This window comes from Homo sapiens, chromosome 19 (assembly GCF_000001405.40).
Source record: "Homo sapiens chromosome 19, GRCh38.p14 Primary Assembly".
Lineage (NCBI taxonomy): Eukaryota > Metazoa > Chordata > Mammalia > Primates > Hominidae > Homo > Homo sapiens.
In genome coordinates, this window is record NC_000019.10 from 38,856,696 (window position 1) to 38,878,440 (window position 21,745).

Sequence of the window (21,745 nt, forward strand, 5' to 3'; positions counted from 1 at the left end):
TGGGGAGAGGGAGAGGGACAGGGACAGGGAGAGGGAGAGGGAGAGCGCCTAGGTTTCTTCTGCTGTTCTTTTCCAAAACTTCTTAAATTTTGATACGTCTTTCTCCTTTTCTAATATAAGCACGGAGGCTCTGAATTTCCCTCTCCATTTTAATTTGGCTGCATTTTACAGAAAGGTGTTTTGGAACTTCCATTCTAATTTCTCTCAGACAGATGGCATTTTTAACTTATTTTGTTGTTGTGGTTTGCTAAAATACTTGCAAGTTGGTACATTTTGCATTTTGAAAGATTTTGCCAAATTACCCTCCATTAGCACTGTAACAATTTGAGTTCTCAGCATTTCTATGTAAAAAATGAATTTTCCCCACTATCTCAAAATACTGCACATTTTGTTTTACATTTGTCAATCTGAGGTAAAAACTGGTTTTAATTTTAATTTACTTTATATTTACCTTATTGAATGAATCGTGTGTGTGTATGTGAGCGTATACCATATGTGTTCACATGGGAATTGGAACAGCTAGAGAAAAAACATCCCAGGGAGAAGAAACAGCAAATGCAAAAGCCCTGAAGTCGGCTGGGCATGGTGGCTCACGCCTGTAATCCCAGCACTGGGAGGCCGAGGTGGGCAGATCACGAGGTTCAAGACCAGCCTGGCCAACACGGTGAAACCCCATTTCTACTAAAAATACAAAAATTAGTTGGGCGTCGTGGTGGTTGCCTGTAATCCCAGCTACTCAGGAGGCTGAGGCAGGAAAATCACTTGAAACCGGAAGGCTGAGGTTACAGTGAGCTGAGATCACACGCCACTGCACTCTAGCCTGGGCAACGAGCGAAATTCCGCCACACACACACACACACACACACACACACACACACACACACAAAAAGCCCTGACATGAGAACTGAAGACCTTTGTGGCTGGGCAGAGGGAGTGACAGGGTGAGTCTGAGGGGACAAGGTCAGAGGGGTGATGGGGGCACGTTATGTGGGGCCCACTGAGACGGGCTGAGGATGAGGACTTTGGTCTTATTACTAAGTGAGAAAAGAACCATGAGAGGGTTAAAAACCAGAATGACAAGCTGAGCATGGTGGCTCAAGCCTGTAATCCCAGCACTCTGGGAATGTTAAGGCAGGAGGATCCCTTGAGGCCAGGAGTTTTAGATGAGCCTGGCTAACATAGTGAGACACCATCTCTACAAAAAAAAAGTAAAAGGCCAGGTGCGGTGGCTCATACCTGTAATCCCAGCACTTTGTGAGGTCAAGGCGAGTGGATCACCTGAGGTCAGGAGTTTGAGACCATCCTGGCCAACATGGTGAAACCCCATTTCTACTAAAAATACAAAAATTAGCTGGGCATGGTGGTGGGTGCCTATAATCCCAGCTACTTGGGAGGCTGAGGCGGAAGAATCAACTTGAACCTAGGAGGCAGAAGTTGCAGTGAGTCAAGACTGTGCTATTGCACTCCAGCCTGGGCAACAAAAGTGAAACTCCATCTCAAAAAAAAAAAAAAAGGAAAAAAATTAGCTGGGCATGGTGTAATGCCCCTAGTCCCAGGTCCTCAGGAGACTCAGGCAGGAGGATCACTTGAGCCCAGGAGTTTGAGGCTGCAGTGAGCTATGATTGCACCACTGCACTTTAGCCTGGGCAACAGAGTGATAACTTCTTTCCAAAAAACTCCACAAAAAACAGAAGAGTGATGAGATCAGATTTTTTTTGGATTAAAAAATATAACATCTTTATTAAGCTATATTTCACATACCATAATATTAACTCTTTATATATTTATTTATTTATTTGAGACGCAGTCTCGCTTTGTCGCCCAGGCTGGAGTGCAGTGATGCGATCTCATCTCACTGCAACCTCTGCCTCCTGGGTTCAAACGATTCTCCTGCCTCAGCCTCCCAAGTAGCTGGGATTATAGGCACCTGCCACAATGCCCGGCTAATTTTTGTATTTTTAGTAGAGATGGGGTTTCTGCATGTTGGCCAGGCTGACCTCGAACTCCTGACCTCAGGTGATCCGCCCGCCTCAGCCTCCCAAAGTGCTGGGATTACAGGCGTGAGCCATTGCACCCAGCCAAATATTAACTCTTTTAAAGTGTATGACTGGCTGGGCTGGTGGCTCACACCTATAATCCCAGCTATGTGGGAGGCCGAGGTGGGCAAATCACTGAGGTCAGGAGTTTGAGACCAGCCTGGTCAACATGGCGAAACCACCTCTCTACTAAAAATACAAAAATTAGCCAGGCGTGGTGGTGCACGCCTGTAGTCCCAGCCACTCTGGAGGCTGAAGCACCAGAGTCACTTGAACCTGGGAGGAAGAAGTTTTGTGTGTGTGTGTGTATGTTTGTGTATATGTATGATTGAGTGTTGAGTGGTTTTTAGTATGCTCACATAGTCATGCAACCATCATCACTGTCTGATTCTGGAATATTACCCTCAAAAGGAACTCCATACCCTTTTTTTGTTTTTCGAGACAGAGTCTTGCTCTGTCGCCCAGGCTGGAGTGTAATGGCGTGATCTCGCCGCACTGCAACCTCCGCCTCCTGGTTCAAGCAATTCTCCTGCCTCAGCCTCTGGACTAGCTGGGATTACAGGCGCCCACCACCATACCCCGCTAGTGTTTTGAATTTTTAGTAGAGACGGGGTTTTGCCACGTTGCAATCCGCCCACCTCAGCCTCCCAAAGTGCTAGGATTACAGGCGTGAGCCACTGTGCCCAGCCTCCATATCCTTCAGCAGTCACTCCCCTCAGCCCCCGGCAGCCGCCAATTTACTTTCTGTCTCTATGGATTTGTCTAGTCTGGACATTTCATATTGTAGGGTCCAGCCCTACGGGGCTTAGCAGGTGTTCTCCCCGTGTGCAGAGATGAGAGATGGTAATAAATAAAGACACAAGACAAAGAGATAAAGAGAAAACAGCTGGGCCCGGGAGACCACTACCATCAAGTTGTGGAGACTGGTAGTGGCCCCGAACGGCTGGGCGCGCTGATATTTATTGCATACGAGACAAGGGGGGCAGGGTAAGGAGGGTGAATCCTCTAAGTGATTGATAAGGTGAAGCAAGTCACGTGATCATAGGACGGGGGTGGGGGGCCCTTCCCTTTTAGGTAGCCAAAGCAGAGAGAGAAGGCAGCATACGTCAGCGTTTTCTTCTATGCACTTATAAGAACGATCAAAGACTTTAAGACTTTCACTATTTCTTCTACCGCTATCTACTACCAACTTCAAAGAGGATCCAGGAGTACGGGAGGAACGTGAAAGTGGACAAGGAGCGTGACCTTTGGAGCACAGCACCACAGGGAGGGGTTTAGGCCTCCGGTGACTGCAGGCAGGCCTGGATAATATCCAGCCTTCCAGAAGAAGCTGGTGGAGCAGTGTTCCCTGACTCCTCCAAGGAAAGGAGACTCCCTTTCGCGGTCTGCTAAGTAATGGGCGTCTTCCCAGACACTGGCATTACCGCTTGACCAAGGAGCCCTCAAGCGGCCCTTATGTGGGCGTGACAGAGGGCTCACCTCTTGCCTTCTAGGTCACTTCTCACAATGTCCCTTCAGCACCTGACCCTATACCCACCGGTTATCCTTAGGGTATATTAGTAATGCAACAAAGAGTAATATTAAAAGCTAATGATTAATAATGTTTATAATAATGATTGATAATTGTCCATGATCATCTCTATATCTAATTTGTATTATGACTATTCTTATTCTAACTATTTTCTTTATTATACTGAAACAGTTTGTGCCTTCAGTCTCTTGCCTCGGCACCTAGGTAATCTTTCACCCACATCATATAAATGGAAAAATATAGTATGTAGCCTTTTGTGTCTGATTCTCTTAGCATGTTTTCAAGTTTCACCCATGTTTTTTAAATTAAATTAAATTTTTATTTTTGGGGGACGGAGTTTAGCTCTTGTCGCCCAGGCTGGAGTGCAATGGTGCAATCTCGGCTCACTGCAACCTCTACCTCCAAGGTTCAAGCGATTCTCCTACCTCAGCCTCCCAAGTAGCTGGGACTACAGGCGCCCGCCGCCATGCCCGGCTAATTTTTGTAATTTTAGTAGAGACTGGGTTTTGCCTTGTTGGCCAGGCTGGTCTCTTATCTCCTGACCTTACGATCCGCCTGCCTCGGCCTCCCAAAGTGCTGGGATTACAGGCATGAGCCACTGTGCCCGACCTGCTTTCTTCTTTTTTGTTGTTAAGCCTCCTCCGGCTCCAAGCAGAAATAGCTTCACGGTCTGCTGTGCTTCAGATTGAAAACTCAGACACCCTCAGGGACCAGTGGGGAAAGCCACCCCTTAGAGGAAAGTTTCTCATTTGCATTACGCAGTCCTGACCCTTTCCCTACCTTTCCCCGCCCCCAGCTTCAATCAGGTCTAACTGATATGTGAGAAACCAGACCTTTAAAGTGTACAATTGATGAGTTTTAACTTACATATACACCTGGGAAACCATCACCACAAATCAAGATAGTGACCACAAGGTAAAAACAGTATTCATCATCCCCAGGAAGTGTTTTTGTTTTTTTGTTTTTTGTTTTTTATTTTTTTTTTTGAGATAGTCTTGCTCTGCTATCCAGGCTGAAGTCCAGTGGTGTGATTATAGCTCACTGTGGCTTACTCCCAAGTAGCTGGGACTACAGGTTCCTGCCACCCCATGGCCATTTTATATATATATATATATAATATATATGTATATAAAATATATATATAGTTATATATATACACACTATATATACTATATATTATATATAATAGTTATATATACCATATATTATATATACTATATTATATATAGTATATCATATATAGCATATATTATATATACTATATTATATAGTATCTCATATATAGCATATAATATATACTATATTATATATAGCATATCATATATAGTATATATAATATATACTATATTATATATAGTGTATAATATATACTATATTATATATATATTATATATATAAATATAATTGGGTTTTTTTTTGTTTGTTTTTTTGGTAGAGATGGGGTCTTGCTACGTTACCTCGGCTGATCTCAAACTCCGGGCCTCAGGCAATCCTCCTGCCTCAGCCTCCCAAAATGCTGGGATTACAGTAGTGAGCTACCACACCCACAGAAGTTTTCTTTTCGTTTTTGAGACGGAATTTTGCTCTGTCGCCCAGGCTGGAGTGCAGTGGCATGATCTCAGCTCACTGCAGCCTCCACCTCCTGGGTTCAAGCAATTCTCCTGCCTCGGCCTCCCTAGTAGCTGGGATTACAGACATGCACCACCATGCCCAGCTAATTTTTTTTTTTTTTTTTTTTTGAGATGGAGTTTTGCTCTTGTTGCCCAGGCTGGAGTGCAATGGTGTGATCTCGGCTCACTGCAACCTCCATCTCCCAGGTTCAAGCGATTCTCCTGTCTCAGCCTCCTGAGTAGCTGGGATTACAGGCATGTGCCACCATGCTTGGCTAAATTTTTTTGTATTTTTAGTAGAGACGGGGTTTCTCCATGTTGATTAGGCTGGTCTTGAACTCCTGACTTCAGGTGATCTGCCTGCCTTGGTCTCCCAAAGTGCTGGGATTGCAGGCATGAGCCACCACACCCAGCCGCTAATTTTTATATTTTTAGTAGAGACAGGGTTTCAACATGTTGCCCAGGCTGGTCTTGAATTCCTGACCTCAAGTGATCCCCCTGCCTTGGCCTCCCAAAGTGCTGGGATGGGTGTGAACCACCACGCCTGCAGAAGTTTTCTTGAGCCTCCTTGTAAACCCTCTGTTTTTCACTGTCCCCCGCCCAGTGTTACAGACCACAAGTTCTTGGGATCTGAATGCAACTGAAATTGACTTGAGGCCAAAACAGTTTTCCCAGACAAGACTTCATTGGAGTTTATGCCTGGGTATGAGGGAGACAGCACAAGAGAAAGAGAGCAAATTTGCTGGCTGACTCTTGGAAAAGAGCCAGTAGGGCTTTTTTATTAGGCAAAGCTCTGGAATTGACATTAGCGGGAGGATATACAGGCTGAGCTGGGCAAAACATGTGAGGAGTAGAGCACTCATGAGGACACTTGTCTGGCTGCGATGGTTATCTTGAGTAATGGGCCACATGGTGTTCTGGCAGGTGCAACAAGGCTGTAAATCAATTGTTCAGCTTTCCTTCCGGAGCTGGGACACTCACACCCTCGGTTACTTCCTAAGGCCAGTTCCTGAAATTCTTTTTTTTTCTTTTGTTTGAGACAGAGTCTTGGTCTGTTGTGCCCAGGCTGGAGTGCGGTGGTGCTATCTTGGCTCACTGCAACCTCCTTCTCCCAGGTTCAAGTGATCCTCCTGACTCAACCTCCCGAGTAGCTGGGATTACAGGCGCCTGCTACCACGCCCAGCTAATTTTTATATTTTTAGTAGAGATGGGGTTTCACCATGTTGGCCACGCTAGTCTCGAACTCCTGACCTCAAGTGAGCCACCCGCCTCGGCCTCCCAAAGTGCTGGGATTACAGGCGTGAGCTACCGCGCCCGGTCTCGCTATTGATTCTTTTTGCTTCCACGGACAACTTTTTATTTCCTATCTTCCATCTGTGAGGGCGTTCAGGACTTTTGGGCCTTTGTGAGTAAACAGTCAACTCTGTGGAGCGGAGACCCTAGAGAATATGGCCAGAGAGAAATGTGAGCTGTACTCCATTGGCAGCTAGCAAAACTTTCCTTTCTTTGAGCTGTCTTTGCAGTGGTTCTAGATCTTGGGAGGACGGCTGTAGATGCCCTGCATCCTTGGTTAAGTCATAACCTTGGTTAAGGCTTATAGGTTTCACTTGGGAGAGTACCTGTGGTGAAGAAGTTCACAAGCCAGGAATACCAGCTGTTTGTCCCAACTAAAAGCTGGTAATACGGCTGGGCACTGTGGCTCTCACGCCTGTAATCCCAGCACTTTGGGAGGCCAAGGCGGGTGGATCACCTGAGGTCTGGAGTTCGAGACCAGCCTGACCAATATGGTGAAACTCTATGTCTACTAAAAATACAAAAATTAGCCGGACATGGTGGTGTCTGCCTGTAGTCCCAGCTACTTGGGAGGCTGAGACAAAAGAATTGTTTGAACCCAGGAGGCGGAGGTTGCAGTGAGCTGAGATTGCACCACTGCACTCCAGCCTGGGCAACAGACAGACACTCCATCTCAAAAATAAAATAAATAAATAAATAAATTTATTTATTTTAATAAGAAATTTAATCTGGTAATAAGAAATTTAAGAGTAGTTATTTTAAAGAGCTTTATAGTTAGAAGTCAGCTTAATCAAAAGCTAATATCCAAGTTTTTTTTTTTTTTTTTTTTTTTTTTTTTAAGACTGAGTCTTGCTTGTCACCCAGGCTGGAGCGCAGTAACACGATCTCGGCTCACTGCAACCTCTGCCTCCTGGGTTCAATGAAGCCATTCTCCTGCCTCAGCCTCCCCAGTAGCTGGGATTACAAGGGTGCACCACCACGCCCAGCTAATTTTTGTATTTTTAGTGGAGACGGGGTTTCACCATGTTGGCCAGGCTGGTTTCGAACTCCTGACCTCGCGATCTGCCCGCCTCGGCCTCCCAAAGTGCTAGGATTACAGGCGTGAGCCACCATGCCCGGCCCCAAGTTTTATATATATATATATATATATTTAAAAGGGCTTTCTGACTTTTCTCTTTGAATCTTTTTTCGTGGACTAGAACTTTTTTTTTCAAAAACAAAAAAACCCTGTGTGCTTGGTATGACCACTTCCTTTGTTCACTTCCTCCCTTTTTCTTTTTTTCTTCTTTCTTGAGGTGGGGTCTTGCTCTGTTGCCCAGGCTGGAGTGCAGTGGTGTGATCACAGCTCTGCAGCTTTGACCTCCTGGGCTCAAGCAATCATTCCACCTTCACCTCCCAAAGTGCTGGGATTACAGACATGAGCTTCTATGCCCGGCCCACTTCCTTTATTAAAAATTATTTTTCCATGATGTGAGTGAGAGCCCAAGGGGAGACTTCTAGCATGAAGCCCAGAGCTCCACAGCAAACAGGAGCTTGAGTTTGACCCTAAGCCCTCAACCAGCGATACCCCAAACAGCTGCCATTTGAGTTTCACGTCCCTTTTTTTTTTTTTTTTGCCACACATTCATGCATCACCTGCCCACTTCACTGCTTAATAATTTTCTTTAAATCAACCCACTCTTTTGTTTTTAATTCAACACATTTATTTAAACAGGAGATGTCATTTCACTCCAGGAAGTGGAAAACCAGTGTCAGTTGGCACACATAGACTCTAATAGTACAAATAAATCCAATGATTCAGCAACAACAGAGAAGTGCTAAAAGCATTGGGTGAAAGGTGTTGAGGAACAGGTTGGTCACCAGGTCTCAAGGTGACACCCACAGATGATGCAAGAATTCAAAGGCTCACGCCTATAATCCCAGCACTTTGGGAGGCCGAGGCGGGTGGATCACTTGAGGTCAGGAGTTCAAAACCAGCCTGGGCAACATGACGAAACCCCATTTCTACAAAACATACCGAAAATTAGCCGGGCATGGTGGTGGTGTGCACCTGTAGTCCTAGTACTACTAAGCTGAGGTGGGAGGATCGTGGGAGGTGGAGATTGCAGTAAGCCTAGATCACACCACTGCACTCCAGCCTGGGCGACAGAGTGAGACCCTGTCTCAAAAACAAACCGACAAACAACAAAAAATAAAACAAAAAACAAGGGGAGAAGATGACCATCTGCAAGCCAAGGAGAGAGCCCTCAGAAGGAAGTCTATTGTGCTGACACCTCGAACTGGAACTATTGTAACCGCCCAAGGGGTTCACGTTTCCTGCTGCCTAGACAGAGCCCATACATCAAAACAGGGGAATTGCAATAGAGAAAGAGTAATTCGCTGGGCGCAGTGGCTGACGCCTGTAATCCCACCACTTTGGGAGGCTGAGGTGGGCGGATCACGAGGTCAGGAAACCGAGACCATTCTGGCTAACACGGTGAAACCCTGTCTCTACTAAAAACACAAAAAATTAGCCGGGCGTGGCGGCACGTGCCTGCAGTCCCAGCTACTTGGGAAGCTGAGGCAGGAGAATGGCGTGAACCCGGGAGGCGGAGCTTCCAGTGATGCAATGAGCTGAGACCACGCCACTGCACTCCAGCCTGGGCAACACAGCAAGACTCCGCCTTAAAAAAAAAAAAAAAAAAGAGTGATTCACGCAGAGGAGCCAGAGCCCGCTGTGCGCTGTGCGGGAGACCGGAGTTGTATTATTACTCAAATCAGTCTCCCTGAGCATTCTAGGATCAGAGCTTTTAACAACAACGCGGTGGGTGGGGGGAAGCTAGTGAGCCAGGAGTGTTGATTGCTCAGGAATGAAATCATAGGGAGTCGAAGCTGTCTTCTTGAGCTGAGTCAGTTCCTGTATAGGGGGCCACAAGATCAGAAGAGCCAGTTTATTGATCTGGTGGTGCCCACTGATCCATCAAGCGCAGGGTCTGCACAATGTTCCAAGCACTGATCTTAGGAGCAGTTTAGGGAGGGTCAGAATCTTGTAGCCTCTGGCTGCATGACTCCTAAACCATAATTTCTAATCTTATGATTAATGTTAGTCCTACAAAGGCAATCTAGTTCCCAGACAAGAAGGAGGTCTGCTGTTGGGCGCGGCGGCTCACGCCTGTAATCCCAGCGCTTTGGGAGGCCGAGGTGGGCTGATCACAAAGTCAAGAGATCGAGACCATCCTGGCCAACATGGTGAAACTGTGTCTCTACTAAAAATACAAACATTAGCCAGGCGTGGTGGCACATACCTGTAGTCCCAGCAACTCAGGAGGCTGAGGCAGGAGAATTGCTTGAACCCGGGAGGCGGAGGTTGCAGTGAGCTGAGATTGTGCCACTGCACTCCAGCTTGGGCAACAGAGCCAGACTCTGTCTCACCAAAAAAAAAAAAAGAAAAAAAGAGGGAGTTCTGCTTTGGAAAGGGCTGTTTTCAACTTTGTTTAAACTATAAACTCTTTCTCTCAAAGTTAGTTCGGCCTACATCTAGGAATGAACAAGGACAGCTTGGAGATTAGAAGCAAGATGGAGTCAATTATGTTAGATCTCTTTCACTGTCTCAGTCATAATTTTGCAAACACAGTTTCACTGGGAGGAAATAAATTTCTGTTGTTTAAGCCACACAGTCTGTGATCTTTTTTTTTTCTTTTTTGAGACAGAGTCTCGCTCTGTCGCCCAGACTGGAGTGCAGTGGCACAATCTCAGCTCACTGCAACCTCCGCCTCCCAGGTTCAAGCGATTCTCCTGCCCCAGCCTCCTGAGTAGCTGGGATTATGGGCGCGCATCACCATGCCTCAGCCTCCCGAGTAGCTGGGATTACAGGCGCGTCACCATGCCCGGCTAATTTTTTTTTTTGTATTTTTAGTAGAGACGGGGTTTCACCATGTTGGCCAGGCTGGTCTCGAACTCCTGACCTCGTGACCCACCTGCCTCAGCCTCCCAAAGTGTTGGGATTACAAGCGTGAGCCACCGCACCCGGCCATCTGTGGTCTTTTTGATGGCAGCTCTAGCCGACTAGCCTATCTCCTTAGCTCAATGGTCAAAGTTAGCTTTACCAATCACGGCCCCTGATGGGATTCAGGTACCGAGAAGGACACAGCGTCCCTGCGGAGTATTCTTCCCCACAGCTGCAAGACCAGATTTTAATCATGAGGAAGCAGCAGACGAGGCCAGAAACTGGGACTGTCCACAGGACAACTGGCCAGGGCTCTTCGAACAGCCAGGGTCAGTCCAGCTGCTACACATGTGAGGTAAGAAAAAAAAAAGCCAACGTCAGGAGCCTCTCTGAACCTATTGTGGTTTGGAGGCTGTCCAGTTTATTTACAAATTGAAAAAAAGTTATATATATATAAATTATTATATTATTGTTTTATAATATTTATATTATTTTATAAATTAATATAATTATTATGATTATAAATTAAATATTTTAATTTATATATAAATTATTTTTTATTTTTGTAAATATATAAATCTATCTATATATAGATATATCTATACGTATAGACACAGATAGATACCTCATGTAGCTAGTGCATACTTGAAATGTGACTAGTCCAAACTGTGATGTGATTAAGTGTAAAATGCACAGTAAATTTCAAAGCTTTAGCATACACACACACAAACATACAAAGTTTTAAATATGTCAGTAACTTTTTAATATGGATACATGTTGAAGTGATAATATTTGGGATACATTGTGTTAAATCAAATATATTATTATTAACGTTAACTTCACTTGTTTCTTTTTATTTATTTATTTATTTTTGAGATGGTGTTTCACTCTTGTTGCCCAGGCTGGAGTGCAATGGCGCAATCTCCGCTCACCGCAATCTTCGCCTCCCGGGTTCAAGCCATTCTCCTGCCTTAGCCTCCGGAGTAGCTGGGATTACAGGCATGCGCCACCATGCCCGGCTAAGTTTGTATTTTTAGTAGAGACGGGTTTCTCCATGTTTGTCAGGCTGGTCTTGAACTCCCGACCTCAGGTGATCTGCCCACCTTGGCCTCCCAAAGTGCTGGGATTACAGGCATGAGCAACCGCACCCGGCCTCACTTGTTTCTTTTTAGTTTTTTAAATTGTAGTTACTATGAACAATGAAATACATAAATATATGGTTTGTTAGCATGTGATACATTCTTTGGGAAAAACGATCACAATTGGGCACGGTGGCTCACGCCTATAATCTCAGCACTTTGGGAGGCCGACGTGGGCAGATTGCTTGAGGTTAGGAGTTTGAGACCAGCCTGGGCAACAAAGAGAGACCTCATCTTTATAAAAAATTTTAAAAATTAGACAGGCACGGTGGTAGGTGCCTGTAGTCTCAGCTACTTGGTAGGCAGAGGCAGGGGGCTTGTTTGAGCCAGGAGGTTAAGGCTGCAGTGAGCCGAGATCATGCCACTACACTCCAGCCTGGGCAACAGACAGAGACGTTCTTTCAAAACAAAACAAAACCCCCTGTTCCTCAAGCAAGATGCCAGACGTACCTGGGTCAGTCCAGACTCCTGACCTATGTGGTTTAGGAGCAGCAAGGAGGAGGGAGGGGTCCCAGGAAAAGGGAACAGCCTACCTCTGGGCCTTTGCACTGGCTCATCCTGCTTCTCGGAATGCTCTTCCTAATACCCACTCTGCTCCTCCCTTCCCCTCCCCTCCTTCAGGCCTTTCTGCAGATGTCACCTCAGTGAGGCTTTCTCTGATACGCCTGTCTAAAACTGCAAAGCCTCCTGAGTAGCTGGTACCACAGGAGTACGCCACCACGCCCGGCTAATTTTTGTTTTTTTTTTTTTTTGGTAGATGGGGGTCCCACTGTTTTGCCCAGGCTGGTCTCAAACTCCTGGGCTCAAGCAATCCTCCCACCTTGGCCTCCCAAAATGTTGGGATTACAGGCATGAACGGAGGGGTGTGAAACCCCTAGTTGTCACTGGTCCCTGTCACAGTCTCTTCTGCCCATGGCTCCTTAAAGGGCAGGTTGGCCTGTGGGGAGAGGTGGGAGCTGGGTCAGAAGGGCACCAGGTCTCACCCTCCCTTCTACTTGCAGCCAGATGGGCAGTCACCTGGGCTCTGGGATGATCCTTTCTGTGCAGCGTCCGCCTGCGGTGCCACTGGTGCAGGGAGGCGCGGGCCTCGGAGCTGAGCCCCCGGGGAGCGCGGTCTGTTTCGGGCTGGTAGTGGGCAATGTGGTGCAGCGCCCCAAACCACGTGGTCAGGTAGTACCCAGCTGGGGACAGAAAGGGAAGTCAGCTCCGCCCTCTCGGCTTCCCTGGTCGCCCCAAATCCCCCTGCAGTTTGCCTGCCGTCCCTCCTGCTGCGGGGGGAGGCTGTTTGGGATCCCGGAGGTACTGGATCGCTGGGCTCCAGCATTCTGGAGTTGGGGGCTCACCCTCTCCCCGCAGCTCATCTGGATCTAAGAGCTCCATAAGAAACTCTACGTCCAGCTGCGTGTCCCCAATGTCCGGGCTCCAGATGAGTTCCTCGGTCAGCGCCGGCAGGAAGGCGTCGGCCCCCAGGGGATCTGGGAAAACCAGAGGAAAGGTCTTGAGATGGATCCCCATCTCAAGGCGCGTAGACACCTTCCATCCGATCCCCAGGACCACGAGGGCTGGCTGCCCCTCCACCTTGTCGGGCATGACAGCGCCTCCTACCAGAATCTTCAGGACCGCATAGATTCCTCCCACCAGTGCTACCCTCTCCCGCCTGGCTCCAACTCTCAAGGCTCTCCCCACCACGCTAGACGTTGACCCCTCCCTTACCTTGGTTCTCGCCTCGAGCCAGGCCCGCATAGACATCTCTGCACACCTCCAAGAGGAGCGCCACCTTGCGGCGCGGGGCGCAGGCAGCGTGGAGGTGCGCAAGGCGCTCGTGGATGCGGCTCCGCAAGGCGGGGGCGGGGCTCTGCCCTTCCGGTCCCGGCCCCTGTGCCCCCGGAGGCCCCGCCCCCGCCCGCAGGGCTGTCTGTCGCCGCCGCAGCCGCCGCAGCTCCGGTGCTCGGAGTGTGCGGAGTCGTGTCCACAGGGCCGGCTTCAGGGGCGCCAGCACCGCCTGGCACACCGCCGTCTCCAGCGCGGGGCCTGCGGGGTGTGGGGGACGGGTGAGCACAGGACCGCCAAGTTGTCCCACGCCCACCCACGCGCTCCAACAACCCACCCTGGCCCACAGCCACCCCTGCCTAGCTCTGGTCCCCCGTGAGTGTAGACATGGTTGTGAACATGTGTGGAAGAGTTAGCCTGGGTGTGAACTTGCGCGCATACGTGGGCGATAGAACGCGTGGGATGTGTAGGAAGGGCGTGTGGGTGCAGAAGGAAACGTGTGCGCACCGATGGAGAGGACGAAGTTGCACACTTGAACCCGTGGGGGCTCCCTTCCAGTCCTCCCATTACCTGGATCCTCGTCCTTCTTGGGGAGCCCAGGACCCCTGCTTCCAAAGACAGCCCTGATGTAGGAGTCCTTTGCCAGGTGATCCTGGAGGTCAGTAAGGAGGTGCCGCACATCCTGAAGCAGCTCCGTGGCCGGGTCCCCAGACCCGTGGGGACCCCCAGAATCTGAGGCGATGCGCACCCGAAGGCTTCGGTACTGCCTGGCCACGTAGCTGCTCCGGGCCCTGACCAGAGACTGGACGTGAATGGTGAGCACGTCCTCAGGGCCTTCCTCTTCAGGGTCGTCCTCCCTTCCTTCCTCCTTTCCTTCAAGGTCTTCCTCCTCCTCTTCCAGTAGGCTGGCGAGAGCCGGCCCAGGATGGTCCACTTCCGGGCTGAGCGGGCCTTTCACCCAGGAGACCCCGTGAGGCGCAGGGTTCCTGGGGGCTGGAAGTGAGGAGGGCATTCGGTCGCCTAGAACAGGGGCAGCAGCTCCCTCCCCTTCAGAGGCCCAGGGCCCCGCCCAGCTAACCTGGATCATGTCTCTGAGCAGCCTCTGGCTCTGTTTCTTGAGGGGTCTGCTCCCTCCCCCAGCCTCTGTGGGTCTCCAGGTAGAGCTGGTTCACAATGGAAAGCACCTTCCCTGGGGTGTCCTGTTGGACCCTGCCGATCTGCACAGGATCTGGAGCCAGCAGAAGTGAGAAGGTGTCCTAGGTATCCAAGGGACCAACCCTGGTCCCCTCAAGGCGCCAGGAGACTTACTTCCCAGCTTCATTGCTGGAGGTGCTGAGGCTTAGCTCCTGGCCCCTCCTCAGTCAGACCCAGGAGTCCAGGCCCCTAGTCCCCTTCTCACTTAGGCCCAGGCGTCCGGGACCCCCAGTTCCTTCCTCCTCCAATCCTCTCCTCTGTTAGGACCTAGGAATACAGGCCCCCATCCCCTCCTCCCTCTGGGACTACAAAGTCCAGGCCCCCAGCTCTCTCTAGTCTCCAGTTCTATATTCTCCTCAAACCCAGTAGTCTGGGCCCCAAAGCCCCATTCATTCCCTTGGAGCAAGGAAATTGGCAGGTTGGCTGTGCCCTCTTTAGAGAACCGTGCCTCACCTGTGTGTTCATCTCTGGGCCCTAGAGTGGGAGGGGGCAAGAGCAGGGTTCTGGGCAGAACATCCCTGAGAATAAAGAGGTGGGAGCCACAGTGTCAGTGGGGTGTCTTAGGGAAGGGTCCCCCTTAGTGCCTCAGATGGGTGACCTGTACCTGCTGGCTGATAGAAAGGCCAGGAGATGGGGCAGGTCTGGCATGCAGAGGTTGGAGGATTCCAGGGACACACCTGTGGTGGGGGGAGGAAGAAGGAGAAAGTAAACTTGAGTGGTGGCAGTTTTCTGTCCCCTGGGATGCTCTTGCTCCTCCATTCCTTCAGAATCCCCCCAGGGACCTTCAGAACAGGGAAGTTCCCACTCTTTGGAGTCTCCATCTTTACTCTTGTGTACCACTTATGCCACCAACAAGGATTCATTCATTAGACAAACATTTACTGAGCCCTTAGTCCTTTCTAGGCACTGGAGATACAGTTATCAAAAGGCAGACAAGTTCACTGCCTTCCTGTAGCTTACCTTTTAGCGGGGGGCGGAGGGGGAAAAGGCAGAATATAAATGAATAAACAGTCAGGGTACGGTGGCTCACGCCTGTAATTCTAGCACTTTGGGAAGCCGAGGTGGGTGAATCACCTGAAGTCAGGAGTTCGAGACCAGCCTGGCCAACATGGCGAAACCCCATCTCTATTAAAAATACAAAAATTAGCTGGGCATGGTGGTGGGCGCCTGTAATCCCAGATACTTGGGAGCCTGAGGCAGGAGAATCACTTGAACTCGGGAAGTGGAGGTTGAAGTGACCTGAGATTAAGCCATTGCACTCCAGCCTGGGCGACAAAAGTGAGACTATCTCAATAAATAAATAAATAAATAAATAAAAATAAATTTTAAAAACGAGTAAACAAAGTGGATATTGTATTGAGTGCTATGAAGAAAATGGAGTGATTGAAAGTGACCAAGAGGCCAGGCATGGTGACTTACGCCTGTAATCCCATCACTTTGGGAGGCTGAGGTGGGTGGATCACTTGAGGTCAGGAGTTCAAGCCAGCCTGGCCAACATGGCAAAACCCATCTCTATTAAAAATACAAAAAATTGGGAGGTGGGGGCCTAGGGGAGGGATAGCATTAGGAAGAAATACCTAATGTAGATCATGGGTTGATGGGTGCAGCAAACCACCATGACACCTGTATACCTATGTAACAAACCTGCACATTCTGGACATGTATCCCAAAACTTAAAGTACGATAAAAAATAAATAAATAAAAATAAAAATAAACCAAAAAATTAGTCATGTGTGGTGGTGTGCACCTGTAATCCCAGCTACTTGGGAGGCTGAGAGGCATGAGAATTGCTTGAACCTGGGAGGTAGAGGTGGCAGTGAGTTGAGATTGGGCCACTGCACTCCGCCTGAGCGACAGAGTGAGACTCTGTCTAAAAGAAAAAAGAAAAAGAAAGTGACCAAGGTGCCATCTTTTAACTATGATGGTCAAGAAAGGTTACATTTCTGCAGAGGCCTGGAGGATGGAGACTAAACCAGCCCCTCTAGGAAAAGCATTCATACAGGATGAACCCAAGCAGAGGTCCTGAAGCTGGAACACACTTAGCATGCTAAAGACACACAGAGTGTAACAGTGTGTATGGGGCAGAGTGAATGAGGGGCAATAGATAGAGAGACAGGAAGGAACTACATCACACAGCACCTTATAGATCATGACAAGGAGTTTACATTTTGTATCTAAGGACGTTGCATGCTCTTTGCAGGATTTGGGGCAGGGGTGTATAACATCTGATTGATACTGAAAAATATCTTGGGCTCAGAATGGATTGTGGGAAGGAAAGGGAGACAGGATTGGAAATATTCATCAGATATTTTGGAAACAAAGCTGACAGGTGTTTTTGTTTTGTTTTGTTTTGGCAGGGTTTCCCTCTGTTGCCAAGGCTGGAGGGCAGTGGTGTGATCTTGGCTCACTGCAACCTCTGCCTCCTGGGTTCAAGCTATTCTCGTGCCTCGGCCTGCCAAGTAGCTGGGATTACAGTCGCGCGTCACCAAGCCCGGCTAATTTTTGTATTTTTTGTAGAGACGGGGTTTTGCCATGTTGGCCAGGCTGGTCTCAAAATCCTGGCCTCAAGCGATCCACCCGCCTCGACCTACCAAAGTGCTGGGATTACAGGCGTGAGCCACCGCGCCGGTCCAGCTGATAGTTCTTAGTGATCAATTGACTGTGGGCTGGAACCTCAGGGGAGGTGCCTTACCTCTGGGAATCTTCTGGATCTGGTAGGTATTGACTTCTCCTGGTAAAGGTCCTGACCTCAACACCAGGGCCTGGCTGGGGTCACGTCCTGTGACCAAGAAACTCTGGGGGATAGAGACAAAGGCCAGCGTGACAAAGGTGTGCGCAGATGTCTGTTGCTTTTGCCTGACTAGCATCCATTTCCCTTATTTTGGGTTCCACACCCCAAATTTCCTTTAGGGAAACCCTCTCCCTACTTTCAGTCCATGTGTGTTGGGCTGACTTCCCCCAAGCCCTGGCGGGGTGGGCCCATGACCTGATCTAGCCAACAGGATGAGGGTGCTCTCGGCCCACTGTTTGGTTCAGGGAACAGGCATGTGACTCAAGCTCAGCCAATGGACATCTTCCACAGGATTTTTTTTTTTTTGAGACGGAGTCTTGCCCTGTCGCCCAGGCTGGAGTGCAGTGGCACAATCTCTGCCCACTGCAACCTCCGCCTCCCGGGGTCAAGCGATTCTCCTGCCTCAGCCTCCCAAGTAGCTGGGATTACGGGCGACTGCCACCACGCCCGGCTAAGTTTTTGTATTTTTAGCAGAGACAGAGTTTCACCACATTGGCCAGGCTAGTCTTGAACTCCTGACTTCAAGTGATCCGCTCTTCTCAGCCTCTCATAGTGCTGGGATAATAGGCGTGAGCCACTGCGTGCTGGAGCTCTTTTGGAAAGACTTCATTTGTTACACTGGTGTTGCTAAACTGGTGGGATACAGCTCTGAGCTGGGAAGGATGATACCCTCCTGAGGAGGAAGCTGTGGTAGCCCCCGTTTGCTGTCGTCTCCAAACCTATTCCACATTCCTTGCAGAATTCCTTGTTCACGGCATTAATATACCCAGCCATGAGTATGATTGATATATGGATCATGATTGATATAGGTGGTGGTTCTTAGCTCTGGCTGTATACGTCCCAAGAGAGCTGTTAAAAATATTGCTACAGCCGGGCACGGTGGCTCACGCCTGTAATCCCAGCACTTTGGGAGGCCGAGGCGGGTGGATCACCTGAGGGCAGGAGTTCGAGACCACCCTGGCCAACGTGGTGAATCCCAGTCTCTACTAAAAATACAAAAATTAGCCGGGTGTAATGGCGGGCGCCTGTAATCCCAGCTACTCGGGAGGCTGAGGCAGGAGAATCGCTTGAACCCGGGAGGCAGAGGTTGCAGTGAGCCAATATCGTGCCACTGCACTCCAGCTTGGGTGACAGAGGGAGACTCCATCTCAAAAAATAATAATAAAAATAATAAATAAAAAAATTAAAAATATTGCTACCTGGGCCCCATCCTTTTTTTTTTCTTTTTTCTTTTTTTTTTTTTTTTAATAGAGACTGGGCCTTGCTCTGTTGCCCAGGCTGGTCTTGAACTCCTAGGCTTAAGCGAGCCTCCTACCTCAGCCTCCCAAAATGCTGGGATTACAGGCGTGAGTCAGCACACCCGGCCAGCCATCTATATTTTCTGAATCAGTTGTGAAAACCTTTATTTTGGCCGGGGACGGTGGTTCACACCTGTAATCCCAGCACTTTGGGAGGCAGAGGTGGGTGGATCACCTGACGTCAGGAGTTTGAGACCAGCTTGGCCAACATGGTGAAATCCCATCTCTACTAAAAATACAAAAAATTAGCCGGGCGTTGTGGCAGATGCCTGTAATCCCAGCTACTCAGGAGGCTGAGGCAGGAGAATCGCTTGAACCTGGGAGGCGGAAGTTGCAGTGTGCCGAGATCATGCCATTGCACTCCAGCCTGGGCAACAAGAGTGAAACTCTCAAAATTAAAAAAAAAAAGAAAAGAAAACCTTTATTTTTCCTGTAAAATAAACAGATGCAAGTGGTGCCTCTGTTCTTCCTGCCTGGAATGCACGCAGGTGCTTGGGCCTGGGGCAGCCCCCGGGAAGCTGTGAGAGAAGTCCAAGAGAATTATAGCTATGCTGGCCTCAATGTCACTGCACTGCTGATCTAAAGCCAGCAGCTGCCTTTTTGGTTATGTTAGGAAGATAAATGCCTATTTGTTTAAACCGCTGTAGGACAGGTGTTTGTTATATTCAGTCCCAAATATCCAAAATTCCCCGCAGTTGAAAGCAAAGCCAAGAAATGGGATGAAGAGGAATTTATAAGTGTTCTGAAGTTCAGGATCCAGAGCTTCTTGAAATTACATTTTTTTTTTTTTTTTTTTAGACAGGGTCTTGCTCCATCACCCAGGCTCAAGTGAAGTGGCATGATCTCAGCTCACTGCCGCCTTGACCTCCTGAGCTCAAATGATCCTCCCACCTCAGCCTCATGAGTAGCTAGGACTGCAGGCATGAGCCATTGCACCCAGCAATAAATAGCCTTTTTGGTTTGCCCAATTTGTGTCATGTTTGTCACTAGTAACCAGCAGAGTCCTAATCTAGGGTGTCAGGATGGGCCCCCAGCTGTGAGTACTCACCCCTAGTGGCCACAGCCCCACAAGGGCCTCCGCATCCTGGGTATCCAGCTCTGGCACATGCCACACCCCCCATGTCCTCTGCAGGCGAGTAAGTGGCTCTAGGGTGCTGAGGACCCCTAGAGGGGTCCTGTCTGCTTTGTTCACCTGTGGTGGGACCAGCCTGGGATGGACAGTGTCCAGGGAGTCAGGGGTCAGAGGTGGGCAGTGGGACAATGAGGTGAGGTCAAAGGTACAGGAAGGGGCAGGCCCAGGGCAGAGGCTCAGAGATGTGATTCAGGATTCTGTAGTGAGGGAGGTATTGGATGGAAAGGGTTTCTGGATGCAGGGGAAGGAGGGCATAGCCTCAGCCCTAGTAGCCTCACCTCACCCCCTCTGTGGGGACTTCAGGTGCCTTGTCTTCTGGCTGGGCCATCGTCAGGTTGCAGGAAGCCAGTGAGTCATGACCTGGCCTCTGGCAGGGAGAAAGGTAAGACTCAAAGCTGCTCTAGCCCTCGGGTCATGTTCAAGATATTTACAATCAATATGGCAGAGACCCTGACCAATCAGAATGGACCCCAGAGGCCGCTTGCCGTGGCAGGGGTTAATTCTTTATTTTATTTTTGAGACGGAGTCTCACTGTATTGCCCAGACTGCAGTGCAGTGGCACGATCTCAGCTCACTGCAACCTCCGCCTCGTAGGTTCAAGCGATTCTTGTGCCTCAGTCTCCCGAGTAGTTGGGATTACAGGCGTGCACCACCACGCCTGGGTAATTTTTGTATTTTTTAGTAGAGACAAGGTTTTGACGTGTTACCCAGGCTGGTCTCAAACTCCTGACCTCAAGTGATCCCCCCGCCTCGGCCTCCCAAAGTGCTGAGATTACAGGCATGAGCCACCACACCCGGCCGGCAGGGGTTAAATCTTTAGTACCGGATGGTGGGGAATCTGGGGATCCCAGGAGAGAGGCCAGTGTGTCTTGCGGTGTGGGGAGAGGACTCAAAACAATAGCTCTTTACTGAAGTGGTAGGAAATATGTTAAGATTTTTAACAGCCATGGGGGCTGTGTAAATGTGGGCCAGCCCTTGGCAAAACCCAGTCAGCGCCTGGAAAAGTTCTTGGCCCAGAGTAGGCAGTCCCTATATCTGGAAAGGTAATAACATCCCCTCTTCCTCCCTTCCCACACCATGGAGGGGCCACTGAATCTCTTCCCCCAGCATTTTATTATGAAAAATTTCAGACATAGAGAAAAGCTGAAAGAATTGTACAGGAAACATCCCTATGCCCACTACCAAGATTCTACCATGAACATTTTACTCATCTTGCTTTATCACACATCTGTTCCTCTCTCTCTTCATCCACCCATCAGGCCCCAGCTCCTAACCAGGTACAGAGTCCTACGTAGGTTATCACTTAGGGTGGCACTTATCCCAGCAGCAGTCCCAGGAGCAGGAGACCTGGATCGGGGGAGGATCCATCCTCCCTCCCTCCCTCCCTCCCTTCCTTCCTTCCTTCCATCCATCCAGTATTTACTGAATACAGGCTGGAATTAGGTGCCTCTGCCCTGGAGAGAGGGTGATGAACAGGACAGGCTCCTCCCCTCAGGGCCTTCCATTCTTGTTTGGGGCAGGTGTAGCATATGGATAATAGGCAGCTAAACAAATACATTAGGCCATTGACCAGAAGGCCAGGGTGTTATTAGGAAGGAGGGAGGTGGGCAGGGAGGCGCAGGTGCCCTGCCCAGGCAAGAGCAGGAAGGAAGGGAGGGGAGGGGAGGGGAGAGGGAAGCAGATGCCTGCTTGTGTACCGTGGCAGGAGAGGAGGCTGTGGGCAGTGCGTGGCAGGGGTGGGTCAGGGCAGCTGCCTCATACCAAAGGGAGGCAGCAGGGGCTGAAGATGCCAGATGCTCGGTTCCTGGGGGCCCTACCTGTTCTCGGAGGAGAGGCCTGCAGTAGCAGGAAGTGGAGAGAGGAAGCTGAGCAGGCAGGGGGAAGAGGCGGGGCTGGGGTATCTGAAGTCAACTTTCCTCCCTCTTTCTGGGGCCTCAGGCCTTTAGTGACGGGGCTTAGAGGAAGGGACACTGGCAGGCTGGGAGTCCAGGGGTCAGAGCCACGAGGGCCCCCGTGAGGACCCTCT

General features: G+C 49.4%; 1 protein-coding gene across 6 annotated transcripts, besides 12 other annotated features; it reads right to left on the reverse strand.

The window, feature by feature from the left end:
• Positions 513-572: an enhancer, noted in NCBI's record as "active region_14599". NCBI's record gives its function as "activates an Ori minimal core promoter by ATAC-STARR-seq in GM12878 lymphoblastoid cells {active_cell/tissue: GM12878}" and the evidence as "EXISTENCE:reporter gene assay evidence [ECO:0000049][PMID:35858748]".
• Positions 783-942: a silencer, noted in NCBI's record as "silent region_10587". NCBI's record gives its function as "represses an Ori minimal core promoter by ATAC-STARR-seq in GM12878 lymphoblastoid cells {active_cell/tissue: GM12878}" and the evidence as "EXISTENCE:reporter gene assay evidence [ECO:0000049][PMID:35858748]".
• Positions 3,455-3,623: a silencer, noted in NCBI's record as "fragment chr19:39350790-39350958 (GRCh37/hg19 assembly coordinates)". NCBI's record gives its function as "represses an EF-1alpha promoter that drives an FKBP-Casp9 reporter gene in an ReSE screen in K562 erythroleukemia cells {active_cell/tissue: K562}" and the evidence as "EXISTENCE:reporter gene assay evidence [ECO:0000049][PMID:32094911]".
• Positions 8,154-8,448: an enhancer, noted in NCBI's record as "tiled region #3140; K562 Activating non-DNase unmatched - State 6:EnhF". NCBI's record gives its function as "activates a minimal TATA promoter and a strong SV40 promoter by Sharpr-MPRA in K562 cells {active_cell/tissue: K562}" and the evidence as "EXISTENCE:reporter gene assay evidence [ECO:0000049][PMID:27701403]".
• Positions 9,008-9,583: an enhancer, noted in NCBI's record as "NANOG-H3K27ac-H3K4me1 hESC enhancer chr19:39356343-39356918 (GRCh37/hg19 assembly coordinates)". NCBI's record gives its function as "activates a minimal SCP1, AML or CMV promoter by ChIP-STARR-seq in primed H9 embryonic stem cells {active_cell/tissue: H9 hESC(primed)}" and the evidence as "EXISTENCE:reporter gene assay evidence [ECO:0000049][PMID:30033119]".
• On the reverse strand, positions 11,135-21,580 carry RINL (Ras and Rab interactor like). Of its 6 annotated transcripts, none has more exons than NM_198445.4 (12): positions 21,537-21,580; positions 19,998-20,086; positions 19,636-19,779; positions 17,191-17,293; positions 15,103-15,175; positions 14,952-15,016; positions 14,383-14,532; positions 13,875-14,297; positions 13,248-13,565; positions 12,878-13,009; positions 12,552-12,715; positions 11,135-12,471 (listed from the first exon to the last, which is right to left on the reverse strand). In NM_198445.4, exons 5-12 carry the CDS (start codon positions 15,144-15,146, stop codon positions 12,409-12,411), a joined length of 1,359 nt encoding a protein of 452 aa, NP_940847.1. In that variant the 5' UTR covers positions 15,147-15,175; positions 17,191-17,293; positions 19,636-19,779; positions 19,998-20,086; positions 21,537-21,580; the 3' UTR covers positions 11,135-12,408. The 6 variants fall into 6 exon arrangements, with proteins under 6 accessions (NP_940847.1, XP_011524757.1, NP_001182762.1 ...); XM_011526455.4 differs by having other exon boundaries at positions 11,135-12,715; positions 13,875-13,956; positions 14,053-14,297; positions 19,636-19,795; NM_001195833.2 differs by having other exon boundaries at positions 19,636-19,795.
• Positions 12,596-12,655: an enhancer, noted in NCBI's record as "active region_14600". NCBI's record gives its function as "activates an Ori minimal core promoter by ATAC-STARR-seq in GM12878 lymphoblastoid cells {active_cell/tissue: GM12878}" and the evidence as "EXISTENCE:reporter gene assay evidence [ECO:0000049][PMID:35858748]".
• Positions 12,726-13,296: an enhancer, noted in NCBI's record as "H3K4me1 hESC enhancer chr19:39360061-39360631 (GRCh37/hg19 assembly coordinates)". NCBI's record gives its function as "activates a minimal SCP1, AML or CMV promoter by ChIP-STARR-seq in naive H9 embryonic stem cells {active_cell/tissue: H9 hESC(naive)}" and the evidence as "EXISTENCE:reporter gene assay evidence [ECO:0000049][PMID:30033119]".
• Positions 13,036-13,255: an enhancer, noted in NCBI's record as "active region_14601". NCBI's record gives its function as "activates an Ori minimal core promoter by ATAC-STARR-seq in GM12878 lymphoblastoid cells {active_cell/tissue: GM12878}" and the evidence as "EXISTENCE:reporter gene assay evidence [ECO:0000049][PMID:35858748]".
• Positions 13,326-13,932: an enhancer, noted in NCBI's record as "H3K4me1 hESC enhancer chr19:39360661-39361267 (GRCh37/hg19 assembly coordinates)". NCBI's record gives its function as "activates a minimal SCP1, AML or CMV promoter by ChIP-STARR-seq in naive H9 embryonic stem cells {active_cell/tissue: H9 hESC(naive)}" and the evidence as "EXISTENCE:reporter gene assay evidence [ECO:0000049][PMID:30033119]".
• Positions 13,346-13,595: a silencer, noted in NCBI's record as "silent region_10588". NCBI's record gives its function as "represses an Ori minimal core promoter by ATAC-STARR-seq in GM12878 lymphoblastoid cells {active_cell/tissue: GM12878}" and the evidence as "EXISTENCE:reporter gene assay evidence [ECO:0000049][PMID:35858748]".
• Positions 13,933-14,538: an enhancer, noted in NCBI's record as "H3K4me1 hESC enhancer chr19:39361268-39361873 (GRCh37/hg19 assembly coordinates)". NCBI's record gives its function as "activates a minimal SCP1, AML or CMV promoter by ChIP-STARR-seq in naive H9 embryonic stem cells {active_cell/tissue: H9 hESC(naive)}" and the evidence as "EXISTENCE:reporter gene assay evidence [ECO:0000049][PMID:30033119]".
• Positions 21,367-21,416: a silencer, noted in NCBI's record as "silent region_10589". NCBI's record gives its function as "represses an Ori minimal core promoter by ATAC-STARR-seq in GM12878 lymphoblastoid cells {active_cell/tissue: GM12878}" and the evidence as "EXISTENCE:reporter gene assay evidence [ECO:0000049][PMID:35858748]".
• Positions 21,581-21,745: the final 165 nt, after the last annotated feature.